The sequence below is a fragment of the Homo sapiens genome, chromosome 2, assembly GCF_000001405.40.
Source record: "Homo sapiens chromosome 2, GRCh38.p14 Primary Assembly".
Classification (NCBI taxonomy): Eukaryota; Metazoa; Chordata; class Mammalia; order Primates; family Hominidae; genus Homo; species Homo sapiens.
In genome coordinates, this window is record NC_000002.12 from 46787151 (window position 1) to 46810404 (window position 23254).

General features: G+C 42.1%; 2 annotated features.

The window, feature by feature from the left end:
- Nucleotides 16040-16334: a silencer, noted in NCBI's record as "tiled region #15480; HepG2 Repressive non-DNase unmatched - State 13:Ctcf". NCBI's record gives its function as "weakly represses a minimal TATA promoter and a strong SV40 promoter by Sharpr-MPRA in HepG2 cells {active_cell/tissue: HepG2}" and the evidence as "EXISTENCE:reporter gene assay evidence [ECO:0000049][PMID:27701403]".
- Nucleotides 16040-16334: an enhancer, noted in NCBI's record as "tiled region #15480; K562 Activating non-DNase unmatched - State 13:Ctcf". NCBI's record gives its function as "activates a minimal TATA promoter and a strong SV40 promoter by Sharpr-MPRA in K562 cells {active_cell/tissue: K562}" and the evidence as "EXISTENCE:reporter gene assay evidence [ECO:0000049][PMID:27701403]".

Here is a 23254-nt window from a genome sequence, read left to right on the forward strand (position 1 = left end):
ATATGTGCCAAATTGACAAGGGGACTTGTGCACTTAATTTTAGGTGTCAATTCAACTGGATTAAGGAATACCTAGAAACCTGGTAAAGCATGATTTCAGGTGGGTCTGTGAGGGTGTTTCCAGAGGAGATTGCTATGTGAGTCTGAGTGGACTAGGTGGGGAAGATCCGCCGTCGTTGTTGGTATGCACAATTCAGTCATCCAGGGATCCAGAGAGAACAGATACAGAAGGTGAATGAGTCTCTTCTGAGAGCTAGGACAGGCTTTTTTTCTACCACTTTGGACATAAGAGATCCAGACTTGACAGCCTCTAGACTCCAGGCCTTCCATCAGCAGCCCCCGCCTGGGTCCCAAGGCTTTCAGCCTTGGACTGAGAGTTACACCATTGGCTTCCCTGTCTCTGAGGCCTTCAGACTTGGACTGAACCACACTTCCCATATTCCAGTCTCCAGCTGGCAGATAGCCTGTTGTAGGACTTCTCAGCCACTATAATCACATGAGCCAATTCCCCTAATAAATTCCTCTCATATACCTATATACATATCCTATTGCTTCTGTCTCTCTGGAGAACACTGCCTAATACAGATTTGGTATTGGGGAAGCCAAATATCATTCCTTCTTACTGCATTCCTTACAGCACAATGGAAAAGAGCTGTGAAATTGTTTCCTTACAAAAAAAAAAAAAAAAGTGAAAAGTTGAAAGTGTACAAGGCTACTTAACAGTGAAAGGTACAAATTTAAAAGCTAATTTTAGGCCAGGAATGGTGGATCACACCTGCAATCCCAGGATTTTGGGAGGCTGAGACAGGAGGATCACCTGAACCCAGGAGTTTGAGACCAGCCTGGGAAACATGGCAGAGATCTCATCTCTACAAAAAATTTTAAAAATTAGCTGGGCCTGGTGGCGTAAGCCTGTAGTCCCAGTTGCTACTTGGGAGGCTAAGGTGGCAGGATCACTTGAGCCCAGGAGGTTGAGGCTGTAGTAAGCTGAGACTGTACCACTGCACTCCAGTCCTGGGTAATAGAGTGAGACCCTATCTCAAAAAAAAAAAAAAGAAAAAAAAAAAAGTTAACTATGGCCGGATGCAGTGGCTCACACCTGTAATCGCAACACTTTGGGAGGCTGAGGCGGGTGGATCACCAAAGATGAGGAGTTCGAGACCAACCTGGCCAACATGATGAAACCCCATCTCTACTAAAAATACAAAAAATGAGCCGAGCATGGTGGTGGGCACCTGTAATCCCAGCTACTCCGGAGGCTGAGGCAGGAGAATTGCTTGAACCCAGGAGGTGGAGGTTGCAGTGAGCCGAGATCGCGCCACTGCACTCCAGCCTGGGCAACTGAGTGAAACTCTGTCTCAGGGGAAAAAAAAAAAGAGAGAGAGAGAGAGACAATTATTTTTGACGCTGCAAAAACAGAAAATTGCTTAATTGCAACAGCCAAGCAATAACCAGAATTTCAAAAGGACATCATATACTTACAAAATTTGTACACCATAACCACTCTCCAAATGCAAGTTCAATGAGTGTTTCAAAGATCATAGAAGTGAAAATGCAGGCAAAAAAGACAAGAAATCTCCCCTGCTAAATTATTCAATTGTGTGTGATTTCTGCCCCTTCACACATAGCACCAATTTGCTATGCTATGTATTTCATCTTCACATCGTTTCCAGTACTAAGTATAAATTGTATAAAGACTTTTAGTGAGTTCTAATTTGTTTTATGACATTTTTGCAAATGTAATTTCACAAAAATGCATTATCACAGCATTGACTTCGTTGTATAAGTATTGCCCACGTATGTAAAATATTGAAACTTCCTCAGTAAATGAAAAGATGTTCTTTTTGTACATCTGCACTTGAGAAGGATAAAATGTCTCAAAATCTTAGCTCTTTGGGCCACTTCATATACAATGGTGACCCACCGAGGTTTTTGATTAATATCATCAAAAGACTTAGGTTGCCCATCATGTTATTTCAAATGACAGCAGTTATAAAGCTGGGTGCACACAATTACTGACCATACTGATATGCATTTATACATTTTGCTTTTTCACCTATTCCTTTATGAATGTGATTCATCTGCTTATAACTGTTATATCCGTGTGACTGCTGTTAGTATACCTGAGAGTTTATGCTTGTAAAAATATGTATGTTATGATTGCCTATTTTATTGGGTAAAGTATGAAGTGCTCTGTTATGTCTTTATATGTTTCTCAAGTAAATCTCTCTTTAAAAATGTAAATAAATGTCTTTAAAGAATTTTTTGAAATTAGTTTTCCCAAAATTAGATTTTCAGACTTTAATGTTTCAGCATTATGATTTTCAAGACTTTAGGGATTTTGATCTCTTGGAATTTTAACAGGATTATGGCATTTAGGATTATGTCTTTTAAGATTATGGCACAAACCCAATTTAAAAATGATGGTGAAATGATGACTTTTTCAGATAGACAAAAGATGAGAGCACTTGTTTCTAGTAGTACCTGACTTTAAAAAGTATGAAAGTTCTTCAGGCAATAGGAAAATGATGTCAAGTGGAAACTTGAATCAACACAAAGAACTGGAGAGACTAGGATATGGCAAATATGTGGATAAAAAGAAAAGGCCTTTTTTCCTTTTCCTTTATTTAAAATTAGTTTTTAAAACAGTGATTTAAAACAAAAGAATATATTGTGATGTTAATAACATACAGCAGTAAAGTAAGTGTATGACAACAATATAAAAATGAAAGTATATTTTTGGAAAGTTTTTATATTATATATGAATTAGTGTAATATTATTTGAAGGTAGAAGTGATATATTAATTATGTATATTTTAAACCCTATTGCAACTACTAAAAACAATAAAACAAGGTGATATATTTTGCAAGTCAATAGTGGAGATAAAGTAGAATACTAAAAAATGTACAATGAATGCAAAAGAAGACAAAAAGGAATAAAAAGGGAACAAAGAACAGATGGGACAAATAGAAAACAAGTAGCAAGATGGTAGATATATATCTGACTTAATCATCACATTAAGTGTAAATTATCTAAACACTATAATTCATAAACATAGATTGTCAGACTGGATATAAAAGCAAGACCCAACTATACACTCTTTAAAAAAAAAAAACCCTAAAATATAAAGATACAGTTATATTAAAGGAAAGGGATGGGAAAAGATATACCATGCAGTAATACCATGCACAACATTAATTGTTTAAAAAGCCAGTGTAACTATGTTAATATCAAAGTACACTTCAGAACAAAGAATACTGTAGTACTGTGGATAAAGAGAAACATTTCATAATGATAAAGGGGTCAATAGATCAAGAAGACAAAGCAATCCAAAATGTATATGTACCCAATATGAAAACTTTAAAATACATGAAGCAAAAAAATGACAGACCTGAAAGAAGAAACAGACAAATCCACAAAAGTAGCTGGAGATCCCAAAATTCCTCTCAGTAAGTGATAGAACAAATAATCAGAAAACAAATGAAGATGTAGAAGACTTAACACTATCAACTAACTTGACAGAAATGACATATATAATACACTTCACTTGACAATAACAGAAGACACACTTTTTCGAGTGCACATAGAACATTTACCAAAATAGACTATAGGCTGAGATGGAGAGTAAGTCTCAAAAAACTTACAATAATTTAAATAATCCAGAGTACTAATACTAATATGAATGGTCATACTAATTTGAAATTAAATTATAAGTCAGTAACAGAAAGATGCGGAAAATATGCAAATTCTTAGAAATGTAAAACTCACTTCTAATAAGCCACAGGTCAAAGAAGAAATCACAAAGGGGATGGAAACATATTTGAACCTAATGAAAATGACCATACAACATGTCAAAGCTTGTGAGATGCAGCTAAGCAGTGTTTGAAGGATATTTATAGCTTTAAATGCTTATATTAGAAAAGAAAATAGCTTTAAAATCAGTGATCTAAACTTCTAGCTTAAGAGTGTAGAAAAATTAGAGTACATTAAACCTAAAGTAAGTAGAACAAAAGAAACAATAAAGGCAGAAATCAATGAAATGGATTGAAATCAATGAAATGAACAAATAATAGAATAAAATCAATGAAAAAAGCTGTTTCTTCATAAATATCAATAAAAGTAATAAACTTCTAGCTACACTGATCAAGGAAAAAAAGAGGGAAAATATAGATTACCAGTATCAGGAATTCTTTATAAATTAAAAGATCTTATAAACAGAATAATAAGGAAATACTATGAACAATTTTAAATAAATTTGACAATGCAGAGAAAATGAATAAATTTCTTGAAAGATACAAATTACCGACATTGAATCAAGAAGAAATAGAAAATCTAAGTAGCCCTATATCTATTAAAAATTCAATTTTTGATTTACAAGTTTCCATAAAGAAAATATAGCCCCTGGCAGCTTCACTGGTGAAATTCTATCCATCATTTAAGGAAGAAACACAAATGTTACACAAACTCTTTCAGAAAATATAGGAGAAAGGAAAGCTTCTCAGTTCATTTTAGGAGTCCAGCATTACCAATACTAAAGCCAGGAAAATATGTTGTAAGATAATTACCAACCAATATTCCTGATAAACACAGACAAAAATTTCCTGCAAAACATTAGCATAAAGAATCCAGCAATATATAAAATAAATAATACATCATGACCAAATGGGGCTTATCTAAGGAATGAAGAGTTGATTTAACATTCAGAAATTAATCAATGTAGTTCATCATCTTTACAAAGTAAAAAATAAAAAGCTTACAGTTATCTCAGATGCAGAAAATATGTTTGACAAATTTCAGCATCATTTATTATAAAACTCTCACCAAACTGAAAATAAAAAGGAATCTCCTCAACCTGATAAAGAAAACCTAGGGAAAACCTATAGCTAATATCATCCATAATAGTAAAGACTGAATGCTTTCTTCCCAAGAATAAGAACAAGGCAAGGATATCAATTCTCACCACTCCTATTCAACATTGTACTGGAGGGCTAGTCAGTGTACTGGCTGGCTGTTTCTGTGAAGATTTCTTTTTGGATGAGATTAACATTTAAATCAGTGGACTTTGAGTAAAGTAGATTATACACTATAATGTGGGTGGGCCTAATACTATCAATTGAAGACTTTAATGGAACAAAGACTAACCTCCTCCAAGCAAGAAGGAATTTGGGCAGCAGATGGCCTTTGAACTCGAACTGCAACGTTGGCTCTTCTCTGGATCTCTAGCCTCCTAGGCTACTCTGCAGATTTTGGACTTGCCAGCCCCCATAATTGCATAAGTCAATTCCTTAGAATAAATCTCTCTGAATAAATATATGTATGCTATTGTCTAAATGTTGATTTCCCCAAAAAAATCATGTTAGAATTTAATTCTCAATGTGGTAGTATTAAGAGGTGTGGCTTTTAGGAGGTGATTAGGTCAGGAGGGCTCCACTCTCTTGAATGGGATTAGTGACCTTATAGAAGAAGCTATGAGGTCTTGTAGAAAAAGTTACCTTGTAGAAGAAGCTATGAGAAGCCTGTTTGTCCCTTACATCATGTGAGGATGCAGCAAGAAGGCACCATCTTTGAAGCAGAAAGCAAGCCCTCACCAGACACTGAATCTTTTGGCACCTTGTTCTTGGACTTCCCAGCCTCCAGCAATACATTTATGTTGTTTATAAATTACCCAGTCTAAGTTACTTTGTTCCAGCAGCTAGAAAGGACTAAGACATACACATGTGCTCACACACACATCCTTTTGGTTCTGTTTCTCTGGAGAACTTCGATGAATACAAATAATAGTGTTTAAACTGTCAGGCTCCGCACAGTGGCTCACATCTGTAATCTCAGCACTTTGGGAGGCCGAGGTGGGTGGATCACTTGAGTCCAGGAGTTTAAGACCAGCCTGGGTAACATATCAAGACCCCATCTCTAAAAAAATACAAAAAATTAGCTGGGTATGGTGGCATGTGCCTGTAGTCCTAGCTATTCAGGAGGCTGAGGTGGGAGAATCACCTGAGCCCAAGAGGTTGAGGCTGCAGTGAACCATGATCACACCACTGTACTCCAGCCTGGGTGACAGAGTAAGACCCTGTCTCAAAAACAAAAACAGAAAAAAACAGTCAGTTATTCCCAAATTGCTTTATAGATTCAATGCAATCCCAATCAAAATCCTAGCAGGCTTTTGTATAGAAATTTATAAAATTTCTACAAAATTATTATTTTATGGAAATTATTCTAAAATTTATAAGAAAATACTAAAGATCTTAAATAGCTAGGAAAAAAACGAGAAGAAAATACCATTACATAATTTAGATGCCCTGATTTCAAGACTTAATAGTAGTGTTTACTTAAAATCACAAAATGTGTAAGTTTGGAAAGGATAACTTTATTTCTTATAAAGGGTTGCAACCTGAAGACTTGGAGGCGTAGCCTCTGGCAGAGACTGAAAGCAGGCATTTCGAGGGAGGGAGTGTGTTACAGGAGTCTCATGCTTGGTCAATTGGATAGACATACATATTTAACAGGTTACAGGAAGGGCTATGAATATGCATGAGGGGACTTTGCACGCATGCATAGTAAGCAAACGTGTTATGTATGTCCCATGTTCACTTTGGGGGGAAACTTAACATTAAAATGCAGTAAAATTAGGCTGTGCACATCAAAAGTTAAAACGAAGGACACCCACGTGCTCTGTGTGCAGCCTCCGTGGACACGCCAGAGCCAGTCCGTGGTCAGCAGTCTCTTATCAGGAAGGAATGCTGGTTGATTGTTCTGTTGAAACTGAAAGGGGAGGGAAGTCTGGCCAAGGTACCAGGTTGTTGAGTGAGTCTTCTGTTCTTGTTTTCCAGGGCTGGTTTCTGTTCAACTCTTAGGGAAAAAGTCTAATGGTGGTCAGCAAGGGAGAGGGTAAATGAGGCATGACCAACCTCCCATCTCATCATGGCCAGAAAACTTAGTTTTTAAGGTTCTTGGGGGTCTCTTTGGCCAAAAGGGGTCTGCTTAGTCAGTCAGGGAGCTTTGGATTTCATTTTTGTTTCACGGTAGTAATCACGACTATTGGTATTGGCATAAGGACAGAAATATAAATCAATAGAACAGAATAGAGTCCAAATATAGACCCACACTTATTTGGTCAATTGATTTTCAACAAGGTTGCCAAGGCAATTTAATGAGGAAAGGATGTTCTTTTCAAGAAGTGGTTCCAGAACAATAAGATATCATGTAGAAGAAGACAAACTTTGACCCTTACCCCACACCACATAAAAGTTTACTTGAAATGGATTATAGACCTAAATGTAAAAGCGAACACTGTAAAACAGCAAGATGAAAACACAGGAGAAAACTTCAGCCATCTCTGGATGGATAAAGATTTCTTAGATAGGACACAAAAAACACAAACTATAAAAGGAAAATTGATAAATTTGATTTCATAAAAATTAAAATTTTCTACTCTTTAACACCGTTAAGGAGATAAAAAAGCTACAGACTTGGAAAAAATATTGGTAATACATGTATCTTACAGTGGAATTGTATCTTGAACACCTAAAGAACTCTTACTAGTCAATTATTGGTAGGCAAATACCCAATTTTAAAGTGGGCTAATTATTTTAAACTAATTTAAATCCAGACTCTCATAGAAGATATACAAATGTCAAATAAGCACAAGAAGATACTCTACATTATTAATCATCAGGGAAATGCAAATTAAAACCACAACGAACTACCACTACACACTTACTGGAATTGCTAAATTTAAAAAGACTGACAATACCAAGTGTTGACAAGTAAGTGGGGCAACCTGAAGTCTCATACATTGCTGTTGGGAATATAAAATGATTAATGAACTTTGGAAAACAATTCATCAGTTTGTTATAAAATTTTTCACTCATCAAATGACTCAACAGTTCCACCTCTTCATGTTTATCCAGGAGAAATCAAAACATGCCTACACAAAGGCTTGCACACAAAGGTTCATAGAAACTTTATTCATTAACCCCCTAAACTGGAAACAACTCATATGTTCACAAATAGGCAGGAGGATAGCCTTGCAATGGAATGCTACTCAGTATTACGAAGGAACATCTACTGATACATGCAACGACATGGATGAATTTCAGAAATATGCTGAGCCAAACTTGCCAAACATGAAAGACCACTTACTACAGGATTCTATTTATGTGAATTCTAGAAAAAGCAAACCTCATCTACAGTGTTGGAAAGTAGATCAGTGATTGGCTGGAGGGAGGGAGCTGGTGACTGATGACACACACAAAAAAAAACATGAGAATGATGGCATTTGAGAATGATGGAAATGCATACAGTTGTCCTTTCATATCCACCAAAGAGGTTGTTTCTAGGAACCCAGCCAATGCCAAAATTCAGGTCCTCAAGTCCCTTATATAAAATTGTGTGCTATTTGCATATAACTCACCCACATCCTTCTGTATACTTAAACCATCTCTAGATTACTTAAAATAGCTAATACAATGTAAGTGGTATGGAAATAGTTGTTATGCTCTATTGTTCTTAAAATTTGTATTGTTGGGTTTTTTTTTATTTTTTTTTATTTTTTTGAGACAGAGTCTTACTCTGTAGCCCAGGCTGGAGTGCAGTGGCATGATCTCGGCTCACTGCAACCTCCATCTCCCAGGTTTAGGTGATTCTCCTGCCTCAGCCTCCCAAATAGCTGGGATTACAGGCGTGGTATTGTTATTTTTTATTGTGGTTTTTTTTTGCAAATATTTTCTATCTGCAGTTGGTTGAATTCATACAAGGGGAGCTGCAGGTACAGAATGTTGTCTTGTATGTTGATTGTAATGATGATTACACAGGTATATACATTTACCAAAACTCATTGAACTGTACACTTCAAATGTGTGCATTTTCTTATATATGTAAATTAAAACTAAATATAGTTGATTTAATAAGTGAGATAATATGCTGAAGCCCCCAGCACCATTCATGGTACACAATAAATGCTTAGCAAATGTTATTTCTCATCTCACCAGCACCACCTCTTTAATTTCTCTCTGTGTTCCTGCTCTTTTCACACACTCTCAGCGTAATGTGCTTCTCATACCTCTCTGCCTCTCCGAATTCCTCCCATCCTTCAATGTGCAGCTTAAATCCTTCTAGCCTGAATGTTTTCCAGGTTACTCCAGGTCACAGTGCAGAACCCTTAAAGCATCCACCACTTGCTTCTCCAAAATTAAGCATGGTTGTGTAGTAACATGTGTCATTCACAACTTGTTTGATGCATCTATGTCTTGCTTTACCATTGCTTTCGAATTCTGCAGGGATGAGTACTACTTTTTCTCCACTGAAACCTCACCACTGGCTGCTACAATACTGCCAGGAGTTGTTTCTCATTGCCTGGGATGGAGCCTCCCATCTTTGCTGGAACCCTGTAGATCTTCTGCCACTGGACAGAGAGCCCCTGGGGGAAAGAGGCTGGTCTGCAAAGACAGTGTGGTTGCCTTTGCAGCCTAGCTGTCCTGGTTTGCATCTCAGCCCTTCCTGCTGCCTACCTGTGTGGCCCTGGCCAAGTTACCTAGCCAAACTGATCCTCAGCTTCCTCATCCATTTCTTGGGTGGTATTGTTGGAGTGAAATGAGAGAACTGTGTCAGCACCTGGCTGCCATCTGCCGTCACTGAGAGTTGGGTGAATGGGTGCAAGACCAGGTTCGCAGTCTGGCAGGGGGTATGTGAAACTGGTATGCAGGTAACACCTTGACCTGTGTTTTTTTTTTTGTTTTTTTTTTTTTTTTTTTTTTTGCCAGTTTTAAACTAATTTCCCCTGAGAGGAGAGAAACAGGCTGGGTCTCTGAGCTCTGCATCCCTCATAAAAGCTTGGTGTGTTTCTTCAGCCCCGTCCACACATCTGGTTGTACTTACTGCTCCAAAAATGTATCCATCCTGCCTACCATGTTCACATTTCAGAACATGGGGCAGCCTCAGGGGGAAAAGACCTCATAAATACCAAGCATTAAAAAAAAGTAATGTCATGCATTTACATACTTCCAGAAGATGAAGGTCCAGGAACATAACTTTCTCTGCAAGAAGCAGGCACCATGAACCAAGGGCTGACCTGCCAGGGTCTCCCTGGGTAAGGAAAACCCCTCCAAAGCAGTGAACAGAACTTTCTGGCTAGGAACCCAGAAAATAAAAGATTCTTTTGTCTTCCTAGGAAATGCTCACTTTCAACCATGAGAGGAATAACAAGGAGAGGTCAACAGATGAGACACCTGGCTCTGCCTTTCAACTTCCTGGGTGACCAAAAGCATGTCACTCAGCATCCCTGGGCTCTCTTACCCATCTGTGCGTAATTGCTTCTCTCCACTGCAGCTGTGACTCTGTGAACAACTCTGAAGTGAGTGAGGCAGAGATATTTGTCGACGTGTTTGTATTCATGTATGTTCATGATGCCTAGAATAGTGCTTGGCATGTAATACATACTCCACAAATGGTTTTGGGTTTTCTTTTTTTTTTTTTTTTTTTTGAGACAGAGTCTTGCTCTGTCACCCAGGTATGACCTCTGCTCACTGCAGCCTCCACCCCCAGGGTTCAAGTGATTCTCCTGCCTCAGCCTCCTGAGTAGCTGAGATTACAGGTACACACCACCACACCTGGGTAATTTTTGTATTTTTGGTAGAGATGGGGTTTCACCATGTTGGCCAGGCTAGTCTCTACCACCATTCTGCTTGTTGGTTTTGCAGTGGCTGTAGGCATTTCCCCCTTTCTGTTGTCTCTTCTCTCTTCCACCTTCCCACTCCCAATGTGATGGTGTACATCCTGGAGTTTCTCACTCAAGGGTCTGTCTCTGAGGATCAGACCAAAGAGAACTGGCTTGTGTTGTAGTAGAAGGTTAGGTCCAGGCTACAGCTGAGCAAAGGCTGTCAAACTTTGAGAGAAGTTATGAAAATAGGTGGGGAATCTCTCCACAGAAACTCTATTGGGGAAAGATACAATAAATGTTTTCCTCAGCGTGGACTAGCTCCTGTGTTGACACATGAGGAGGGGCATGAACTCTACAGGCCCATGAACAGCTCACAGGCATTGTGATGAGGCCAGTGGGCTCAACTAGAGATGCTCTGTGTGTGACCTGCTCTGTGTGTGACCTGCTCTACACTGACTCACAGGTCTTTGAGGTTAAAGAGCTGCTGAAATGCAGTAGTGTTGCCTGAGGACAGAGTGAAAGAAGCAGAGCCCTGCCTGGTGCCCTGAACCAGCCCAATGCATGGCTTTGAAAGAGAGAATAGAGAAGGGCCCCCACCAAACCTGCTTTTCCATGAGTCCCCTACGTGTCCTTCAGAAACCTCCTTACAACCTTAGTTCACCTAGGGACACATTGGACACTTGCCTGGGTTCCAGCACAACTTCAATGGCCAGGTCAGTTGGGGCCAGGCAGGCAAGGCCATCAGCCTACAACAACCCCTTCTCTCCTTCTGTCCATTTCACTATGGTCTCAGTTTGCAATGGGAGGAGAGTCATCACACTCTCAGCTGAGCCGAGTTTCCTCCAGGGCTTTCCATCAGGGCTGGAGCCTTTGCCAACCATCCCGCAAATTCCATATTCACTAACAAAGCTGGGTCCTTGGACGTTGTTATGAGCACCTGCAATGGGAGAAGATGGAGGTAATGGGGAGTGGATGTCATGATTGCGGTTTGGACAGAGAGGAGATAGGAACCTCTGTTCATGTGTCTTACTTCACTAGCTTTGTCTGTGGCAGTTGGGGATAGGAAGTGATGGTCCATGACTGACAGGTAATATGAAGAGCCGGGTTAAACTGAGCTGAACTGAGCTAAAATGAGTTGAGTAGAGCTTAGTTGAACCAAGCTGAGCTGAGTTGAGCTGAGCTGGGTTGAGCTGAGTTGAGCCAAGCTGAGTGAAGATGAGTTGAGTTCAGCTGAGCTGAGCTGAGATGAGTTGAGTTCAGCTGAGCTGAGCTGAGTTGAGCTGAGCTGAGCCAAGCTGAGTTGAGCTGAGCTGAGCTAAGCTGATTTGAGCTGAGCTGAGCTGAGCCGAGCTGAGTTGAGTTGAGCTAAGCCAAGCTGAAATGAGCTGAGCTGAGCCAAATTGAGCTGAGTTGAACTGAGCCGAATTGAGCTGAGTTGAGCTGAGCTGAGCCAAATTGAGCTGAGTTGAACTGAGCCGAATTGAGCTGAGTTGAGCTGAGCTGAGCCGAATTGAGCTGAGTTGAGCTGAGCTGAGCTGAGTTAAGCTGAGCTGAGTTGGAAAGACAAATCCTACCCTCTTAGAATCCCTGGGGATGAGGCACCCTTTCTGATGCCAGAGATTGAGTTTGTTATTCTCAAAACTGTTTCTGGCAACTGAGAAAGAGTCATGCTTTACTTGTGATGAGACATCCCTGAAAAGCACATCTAGGTCCTCTCTGATCCTCAGAGGAGCACTCTCACGAGTGTTCCTATAAAGCCCCTCCCTCTGGCCCGCCCCTGGGCCGCCCCCTTGTCCTGTGCACCTTCCCACCCCTACTCCTCATCCCCACGTCTCCTCTCTGCTATCACTCCTCTTGTCCCATGGATGGGAATGACTTCCCAGAGCCTTCTCCATGGGCCCCTCAGGAACAACTCTGCTCCAAGAGCTTCTGCATTTACCCACCCATACATTATCTCCATTTGCTGTGTTTGTCCCTGGGTCGTTTTCCCTGAATAATTGTGAGTACTATGTAAGAGAGTCTTGTAATTCTTTTGTGTCTCCCAGAATACTGAGTTCCATATATAAAAGTATATAATAAGTGCTCAATAAAGGCTTACCTCATATCTTATAGTGTACTTTTAATTAATGTATTTATTTGGCTTGGGAAGTCTAAGATCAAATATAGTGTAGTTTTTTTTTTAAAGTTTGTGTTAAAACAGGTATGTCCTCAGCTTATATCTTAAGATGTATTACTGAGAAATGTGTTTTTTCTCTAACTCCAGGCTTGAGTGCTCTGAAGTTAATGAAGAGCAGTGAACTAAGAGTAAGGATATTAAGACCATGACCCAGCCCTGCCACCAATTTGTGTGCGATCTAACATAAATCATGTAACCTTTCTCCACATTTCCCTACCTGTGCAGCAGGTCAGCACCTAGTCTTACGGTGTTGCAAGCATACAATGGCACAAAGTTTTGGATGAGCTTGTTAAATGCTGAATACATGAAGGAGATTATTATTCTAAGTGGCACACGAAGAATTTATTCAACAAAGCTGTATTGATGATTTACTCTCTGCATCAGCTCCTGGGACTGCAAGTATAAAAGTGATTCAGACCTTGCCCTTGGGAAGCCGGGGAGAGACTCAAATAGCTAACAGCAGGGTAAGTAAGCCTTATAGTGAAGTGCCAGGAACAGAGGGGAAGGAGGCAGGAAAGTGTGGGAGAGGGGTATAGAAGGGAGCAGCATTTGAAGAGATATCAAAGAAGTCACCAGATGTCACCAGAAAGAAGGGGAATAGGCAGTAGCATATTCCTGACAGCGTGCTGAAGGCTGAAGGCGTGGCAGGGCAGTGAGTGGTGCCTTGTAGCTGCAGCAGCAATGATCAGGGTGATGAGGCTGTGTGGAGGTGACCAGAGGCCCAAAGAGATGGCAGCAGTGGCTGTGACGCTGCAAGCTCTGTTACTCGAGTGGGGTGTGGTGGGGCGGGAGTCGTGTGGGCTGGGGGAGGTGTCAGAACTCCTTGGGCCTCTGGCCAGGTGCAGGCTCTGGCATGGCCCGGAACTACTGGGTGAGCGGGCAGCCCAGGCTCTCTAGGGAGCTCTGTTGGCCATGGGCAGAGGCACAAGGCCTGGTCCTTCCCACTCTAAGGAGCTGCAAAGACAGAGAAGGCCAGGGGGACCCCGGGGCTTGCAGGTAGGAGGTAGAGAGGAGGCTCAGGGCCAGATTCTTCTCCTGCTTCCCAGGTAATGTGAAGGTCTCTCTCCTCCCGGACTGCACTCGCCTCGCCTTCCCTCTGCACGTGTTGAGTTCTTCCTGCCTCTCCCCGGCTAGGGCCTGGCTTCCACATCACTCTTCTGTGGGCCCTCCTTCCCCCGGTCCTCTTTGCTGTTCTCCATTCTCTATCACAGTTTGTTCCTTTCAGGGCACTTAACACAATTTGTCCGTGTTGGGCTTTCTAGCTCTTCTCTCCCCACAAAAGTGTCAGTTCCATGAGGGTGGGGACTTCATCTCGTCCCAAGGCATTGCCAGTGCCTGGCACACAATGTGTGGCATACAGTAGGTGCCAAATAACTGACTCAATGGTCTGGCCATGCAGCATGACTTCAAGAGCATAGCATTTGGACATACAGTATTGTCTCCGGGTTAAAGGAGGGATCCACATCCACTACAGTAGAGACCAAGAGATTGGGGTCTCACTGTTACTCTGAAAGATAAGTCACATTAAGTGTCAGCTCTCCTCCCCTTCTAGTACAGAGCACTCGATAATCCGGAGTGGATTCAGTCCTAAATCCAGCCTGGTTAAAGGACACCCAGGCTTGCACATATAAGGGTCTCTCAGCGGACCCCAGCCAGCTACAGAATATGGGAAGAACGGGCTTCAATGGGCAAAAGCTGCCGTTTCTTTACTTAGCAATACATGTGTCTTTCTAAATAACAGATTTAAATAAGTAAGGCAAACTGTGAAAATATGTGGTTAAAAATGTAAGGGGTGGGGTGGGAATAGAGAATCTAGCAGATGGTTGCTGTGCCTCCCTCTGTGACAGGTGGGATAGAATCATCTGCATGAGCACATCTCTAAAGGTCTTCTTTTTCATGGGCACATTTATTGGCATACTGTAGAATGAGCCCTGTACATTCAAATAGCAGAGTCGGCCCAGCCCAGAACAGCTCTGGAAAGGAAGACCTTGGCCTTGGCTGTGCCTCACTTATGACAACAGAGCTGTCCCTCATCAAAAAGAGGAAAAGGAGAGAAAATCAGAAATGCCTGGTCAAAAGTGAAGGTGGGGCAAGCAGACCTGAAGCTAGTCCTTGGGGTGAGTGGCTGAGTCACAGCATCCCACACACATGCCACCTCCTACAGCCCCTTGGCCTTCTGCCCATACAGGCTCCCAGCCCACGGCTCACTGGTCACTCTTCTTTCCGATGGCCAGAACCACACGCTGCAGGTGACCCTTGGGAAGACCCCGCCTGGGCCACTCATTGGTTCGTGTGAAGAGGCTTCTGTCCCCAGCCAGACGGTGCCCTGCTTGGAGGCAGAGGCCAGGCGATGTCCTCCAGTGTCCCCGTGGCCAGTCATCGGCTGCCCCTGTCCAAGGCATTTCCACAGGCATTTCCTGCCACACTTGGGCACATTTCCCAACATGCTCATCAGTTTGGGGACAGGCTCCATGGGTGGGGTCACTTCTCATTAGCATTTCTCCCCCTGTGGTTCCCACTGCCTGTCCTGAGCTCGCCCCCTCATCTGTGAGTGCAGAAGCCTGGAAGCCTGAGCTCATCTGCCTGGATGATGGCAGGGCGAGCTCTCCTAGGGACAAATCATGAGCTCAGGGATGCCTGCCATGTATCCTGCTCGTCTGGGCAGGCCCTGCTAAACCCTATGTGTGCACAGTTGTGTTAAAGCCTTACAACCACTCCAGGAGGTGGTGTCGTCATCACCATCCTCAATCTTCATTTCACTTATAAGAAAACAGAGACATAGAAAGACATTGGCCGAGGTCACAGAGTTGGTCATGGTGGGCCAGGATTCAAACTCCACCAGTCCGACCTCCTGCTTTCTGCTCTAAACTCCAACTAGTCTGCAGTGGTATTGTATACCGCACCCTGACCTCACCTGTCTCACAATGTCACAGGCACCTGTGTGAAGGCCACAGGACAAGTGCAGCCTCCAGGCAGGAGGCTGCCTCTTGGCGGTGGTGCCCTTGGTCAAGTCACTGCCCCCTGCTGAGCCTCTGGGCTCTAATATGGGGTTTATGATAGAAGCTGCCTCCTTAGGGGATTGGGAGAATTAAATACGCTCATCTGTGTGAAGGCTTAGAGCAGCGCCTGGCACTGGGAGCACTCAGTAGCACGCATCGTTATCACAGTTATTAATAATATGATTGTTCCCAAGGGAACATTCCAGGTCTGTCTGACCTCCTCTCCTCTCCAGGAGGAGGCATCTGTGCATTGACTACCAACATCTCTCTTTTTAACTAATCGCTCCATCTCATTCTTCCACCTTCTCCATTTCTCCTCCCAACCCTGACATGCCATTGAATCTGTTTAATTCAAGCAAATGCTCAGAGCCCCAGATCCCTGAATGCGACAGATTGAGAGGGTGGGGGTGGGGGTGGAGAATGGAGGAGCTTGTGTAATAGGACATAAATAAACTTGCACATGCTCTTCTTTTTAATTGCAGATTCTATCCCATCGCGGGGCAATTTTTATTTTGCCTTCTCTTGAATAAGTGGGAAGATGTTTTATTCATGTGTATCTTCCCAGCACGCAGCCCAGTAGGTGCTCAATGTGCGCTGAATGATTCGGTGCATTCGGTTCGGCTCCAGCCAACACGTATGCCAGGCGCTGTTGTAAGTGCCTCACATATACAAGCTCATTGAACACTCTGGTGCCGTTTTAAAGTCCTGGAGCTGAGCACTCTAAAGTCCGGCCAATAAAGGAAATGTGTTTGGTAGCCACCCTCTTGATGGACATACCACTGAATCTCCAGCATGAGCTGTGTGGCTCCCGGTTCCTCCCCGCTTGCTTGTGGCACTGCTCCCCTCTAATATTTAGGAAGAGAGTTTCAGCACAAACTTCCAGCTGGGTGAATGGTGGGGCCTGAGGGACGGTGACAAAGCTGAACACACACCTCGAGGGACCTCCACGTTTTCCAGTAGGGTTTGATTTGAACAGTGCCAAGAAATCCCCTCAGATTGCTGGAAACTGCAAACCATGGAGGCTTAACACACCATGCCACTGCCTGGCCAGACAGGCCTGGGTTCAAATCCCAGTCCCACCACGTGTGGAGCCAATTCCTCGCTGAGCCACAGCATCCTCCGGGGTGGAGCAGGGCACACACCCTGCCTCGTGGGGCTGTGGCAATATTACCCAGCTCACCGTGTGACATTTAGTGGGCACCTTCCTCACTCTGACAGCCAGCTGAGCACAGGCCACTAAGGAAAGAAGAATTCTGAGGGAGAGAGAAGAGGCCAAAGAAAGACAGAAAGGATGCCTCCTCCAAGAGCAGTCAGGCCGGGGTGGGACAGGGTGGTGGGCGGAGGTTGGCCGGGAGAGAGCCATTTACCGGCACAGTCAACAAACAAGGATTGGGAATATAAAGCTCGGCATTGTGCTAAGTGCTGAGGAAGTAAAAAGGAATTTTTATTTATAATTTATACCCCACCTACTTCCAAAGAGAATTTTGAAGGTGACTCACAATGAAAACCACATATGCCGCAAGATCACGAAAATAGAAATAGAAAATCAAGTCCATGGAGATGAAGAAAGGAAACCCACATTTATTTACCCCAGGTGCCGTGTCCTTGAATGCACTCCATCATTTAGTCCAGCAACCCCATTTTACAGATGAGGAAGACAAGCAAAGAGGCATGTCCAGGGCAGGCAAAGGTGCAAGCAGGGCTGACTTCTCCAATAGGCGCAGGGCCCAGGATACTCTTAGGGGCCCACTAAAATGTTTTAAAATTTCTTTTAAAATCAGAAGAAGAGAAGAGAACATTGAGGTTGAAAAAATGTTTTAATATATGATATTAATAGATTCGTCTTTATGCCAACACAATAGTAACATATATTTAATTTTTTAATGGAGGAGGGAGTCCACAACTATAAAAGTGCCTGGAGTCTACAAAAGTCACAATCCAGCCCAGGCCACAAACCCAGGCCAGCCAAACTCCAACTCTTGTGCCCCTTCCACACTTGTGCAAGAACATTTGTTGTCACTGAATGTAACATGCGAGTCAGCTCTGCAGCTGAAAAGAGGCCACAATGAGATAAATCTTAGTTTCATAAAAAGGATGTGCAGTGGGGAAACATTTACTCACACTACAATGCAATTGTGGGGAAAAAGTGTAACTTTTACAATTTTCTTTCTTTTTTTTTTTTTTTAGCGATGGGTTCTTGATGTGTTGCCCAGGTTGGACTAAAACTCCTGGGCTCAAGTGATCTGCCTGCCTCTGCCTCCCGAGTAGCTTACATGCCACTACACCTGGCTAAAATTTTCTTTATAATGAATGTCTTCTTATCAGTTTCACTGGGAAGCAGGCGGGTAAAATCCTAAATTGTATCCAATTTGGTAAATTTCAAGCTTGATTTAGTAATCAAAATTGTCTTTCATAGATAACTTGGCTCACTCACGTAAATGTCAGCCTTTTGGAGACTGCTCTCTCTGGCTGCTGAATCCCCGTGTGGCAGGTGATTCCTATCAGAGTCTTGCACAGCCCAGGAGGGAGGCCCCTGGGTTCCCGTGGCATTGCCTGGATCTTCACAGCCTGCTCCTTGAGCTCATGACTGCTATGATGGGATGGCCCCATCTTGCTTTCTGGGGCGCTGTGCCAGGAGCTGTCGCTGGAGCCCATGGTCCCTGCCAGCTTTCCTAGTGGTCACTCAGTCCTGTCACCAGGCCTCTGCCTTTCTGCTGGCACTCTCAACACCTGCTCAGGTGCTGTCTCAGGCTCCCCTACCTCCTACTTCCTGCGCTACCTCCAGGCCTTCATGTGGGTGCTTCTCCTGGACCCAGCGTACCTGGAGAAGGGTGCCTCCAGCCCAGACGCTCCCTGCGGCCTTCAGACATGCTTTAAAAGCATGTGTTTAAAAGCTCCCAACTTTCTAGGTTGTGCCCTGACACACTGGTGGGGAAGGTGGGGAAGGTAATAATGGTAGTGGCAGAGAAGAGCTCTGGTGCCTGATCTACCTGTTCTCTCCCTATCCCCCTTCCCCTTCCCATAGTCTATGAGGATAGAGAGATAAACTTTCCTTCATCATCTTCTAAAATGTAGTCAGTCAGGCCTACCTCTTGATGTGCTAAAAGAGGGTCAAAGGAATTTAGTAAACCTTGACTCTCTCGACATCTAGCTTTCTGTCTGAGACTCAGACATTACCCCAATGTACAAGAAACTCCAGAACAACAAGGTTTACAGGACATGAAAATGTATCTAAAGACAATTCCAGAAAGTATTAATCCCATTGCAGACATATGTTAGTTCAACAGGAGAGACTAACTATACTGACACTTAATTCCAACACAATATATTATATGAATCCTTATGTAGGGAACATCGAACAACACGATGAACACCATCTCAAATATTTATTTGGCAAACCTTCTTCCAATAGCTGTTTGTTCTATCAACCCTCAATAAAAGTAGGCCAGAACATTAGGCACTTCCCTGGTGAAAGGGCCTGATCTTGGTGAGTCTAGTTGTGCTGTATCTGGTGTTCTTACATCTGGATGCAACTTAGACACCCCAGAGACAATGGCGTAGCATAGCACATGTCGCTTCTTTCAGCCAGTGCTAGGATGTGGGAACAAAGGCACAGTCCATCTCTCTCACCCTGAAGAAGGGCAGAGAGAGCTTCAAAAAGGGATATGGGCACAGCCAACCTCTCAACCATCACAATTTTTTTTTTGACTATTAGTTATGATTCAAACTATGAAGCAGAAATGGCTTGGGAGTTTTGAGAGGAAATGACTCAACAAATACAAAATATTGGAGAAGAGATCAGACTCCAGGATCTTCTACATTCAGGCTAGAGATATGCAACTATCAACAGTCTGGATATAGCTGGGTGGTTCATGCCCATAATCCCAGCACTTTGGGAGGCTGAGATGGGAAGATCGCTTGAACTCATGAGTTCAAGACCAACCTGGACAACATGGTGAAACCCTGTCTCTATGAAAAATACAAAAATTAGCCAGGCATGGTGGTCTGCGCCTGTAGTTACTACTCGGGAGGCTGAGGTGGGTGGAAGCCTTGAGCCGAGGAGGTGGAGGTTGCAGTGAGCTTAGATTGTGCCAGTGCACTCCAGCCTGGGCAGTAGTGCCAGACCTTGTCTCAAGAATGTAAAGTCTGGATATAAATTATGATTCTTAGTCTCACTCTAGAAGGCTGTGGGTAGTTGCTTGAGCCAGAAAGAAGATGATTGTGAGGAAAATCAAGATCTTTGCATTGGAAAGAGATCATCTCGTCGAACGAGACTTTGAGGTGGAGAAAAAAATGCATGGTTACTATCACTACTTCTATTAATATTGTACGAGAAATCCTACCCATTTCAATAAAGAAAGAAAAGGACCAGTCATGGTGGCTCACACCTGTAATCCCAGCACTTTGGGAGGCCAAGGTGGGTGGATCACCTGAGGTCAGGAGTTCAAGACCAGCCTGGCCAACATGATGAGACCCTATCACTACTAAAAATACAAAAATTAGCCAGCTGTGGTGGCACGCACCTGTAATCCCAACTACTAAGTGGGCTGAGGCAGAAGAATCACTTGAATCCAGGAGACGGAGGTTTCAGTGAGCAAAGACCATGTCACTGCACTCCAGCCTGAGCAACAGAGTGAGACTCCGTCTCAAAAAAAGGAAGAAAGAAAGAAAAAGAAGAAAGAAAGAAAGAAAGAAAGAAAGAAAGAAAGAAAGAAAGAAAGAAAGAAGAGAGGGAGGGAGGGAGGGAAGGAAGGAAGGAAGGAAAAGAAAGAGAGAAAGAAAGAGAAGGCTGGGTACAGTGGCTCATGCTTATAATCCCAGCACTTTGGGAGGTTAAGGCAGGAGGATCACTTGAGCCTAGGAGTTTGAGATCAGCCTGGGCAACGCATAGAGGCTCTGTCTGAAAAAAAAAAAAGTAGGCAGGTGTGGTGTCACACACCTGTTGTATCAGCTACTCGGGAGGCTGAGGTGGGAGGATCATTTGAGCCTGGGCGATCAAGGCTGCACTGAGCCACAATTGTGCCACTGCACTCCAGCCTGAGCAATAGAATGACTGCCTCAAAAGAAGAAGAAAGAGGAGGAGGAGGAAAGAAAGAAAAAAATTAAGTCTTAAGTTTGGGAAAAAAAGAGAAAAAACTTTAAATATGTATAGACAATATTATTGGGAGAAGAAGGAGGAGGAGAAAAGAAGAAGGGAGGAGGGAAGGAAGGAAGGAAAGAAGGAAGGGGGGAGGGAGGGAGGGAGAAAGAAAGAGAGAGTGAGAAAGCAAGCAAGCAAGCAAGTTAAGGCTTAAGTTTGGGGAAAAAGAGACAAAATGTTAAATATGTAGAGACAACATTATTGTGTAAATAGAAAATCCAAGTTATTAGACCAAGTAAAAGAGTTTAGCACAATTGCTGGGTATAAAGTTAACATGCAAATAAACTTGAGTTTATTTCAATATGTGAACAGTAAACATTGAGAAAATAAAAAATTTTAAAGTGATCATTTATACTTGCAACACAAATGAAGTATTTATGAATAAGTCTAACAAAATGTATGCTAATTTTGTATAAAATATTAAATTTTATTGGGAGACATTAAAGAATGCATTAATAAATGCAGAGACTTACTATATTTATGGATGAATGAGTCTATATTGTAAATATGCCATTTTCTCCAAATTTATATGTAGATTCAATGCATCACAATCAAAATCCCAACACATTTTTGCATGTAGAATTTGGTAAGCTTATTATAAAACTCATATGAAAATGCAATAATTATAAGAAAAAGAAGGTGATGGAATTGCCCTGCCAGATATCATGACTTATTATAAAGGCATAGTAATTAAGAAAGTGTGACATTAGCACAGGCATAGAGAAATAGATCAATAAAACAGAAGAGAGAGCCATGAGCAGACCCACACATATATGGATACTTGATCAATATGACTGACTGCAGATTACAGGGGAGTGGGGAAAAGACTTTTTAAGAAATTATTCCGGGGAGGGAAAAAAAGAGCTATAGGGGGAAAAAAATTGAATCTCTATTTCACACCACATACTAAAATCTCTTTAATTTGGAATAAAGAGCTAAATGTGAAACGTAAAACTACAAACCTTTTAAAAAAAGAGAGAGAAGCACATACCTTTGTGCTCTCAGAACAAGAGTTCTTGAATGAGATATAAAAGTAAAGAAGTAGCTAGGTGTGGTGGCTCAAGCCTGTAATCTCAGCACTTTGGGAGGCTGAGGTGAGTGGATCACCTGAATAAAGCTAGAGGAGCAGAAGTTGAAAAGGTATAAGTGAAACGAGATTGTCCATGAAATTATAATTGTTGAAGCTGAGTGATAGGTACAAGGAGATTCATCATATTATTCTATCTACTTTTGTATATGTTTGGAATTTTATCATAAATTATTTTTGAGAGAGAGAGAGATCAAGGAGGGACTATAAAGAGATGAAAACAAACCACAAACTGGAACTACACATATAAGCAATGAAGGACTAATATCCAGAACACAGAAAGAACTAAAAATCAAGGGGAAAAAAACCAATTTTTTAAAGGTAACAGACTTGAACAGACAAGTCTGAAAAGTGGAAATCCAAATGGTGAAGAAACAAACAAAAAGCTCAACTTCATTAATAATCTGGGAGATAAAATGTAAACCACAATAAGATACCATTTTGTACCCCCCAGATTGGAAAAATTAAGTCTGTAATACCAAGAGATGACAAGGATGCAGATGCCTCTGGGAGTATAAATTGGTACAGCCAATGTGGAAAGCAACTGGACTTGATCTAGTCATGTTGAAGACCATGTCATCCAGCAATTTTATTCCTAGATAAATATCTTAGGGCAACCCATGCATGTGCGCACCAGGAGACAAGAAAGCTTTACAACAACAACATCAGTAAGGACCAAACACTGAGAACAACTCAAATGTCCATCAGCCATAAAATGCATTAACTGTGAGCTTGTATGCTATATGAAATCTCAGCAGTGAAAATATATACAATGAAACTATAGCTATGTCCACCAAATGAAGCAAATCATCAAAGAATGCATACAGTACATTTATTTCCAAGTTTAAAAATAGACGAGTAGGTTAAACTATATGAAGCTGTATGAATTTGCAGATATTCAGCATTTTTCTCTTACAAATGGCATTTGTCATTCACTGTAGTACTGTTTAGGGTGCATACATAAATGGTAAAACCATAAAGGAAAGCAAGGTTCAATCAGACTTTTTCTGATTAACAGAAAAGTCAGGATAGTGTTACCTCTAGGAGAAGGAAGGGAGATTTGACTGAGGAAGGACCTGGGGTGTTGCTGGTGGGGAACTTCACAGGTACTAGTGATGTTCTAGTCTATTTATTTATCTCACGGGTGGTTACAAAAATATTTGCTTTATTTATTTATTTATTTACTTATTTATTT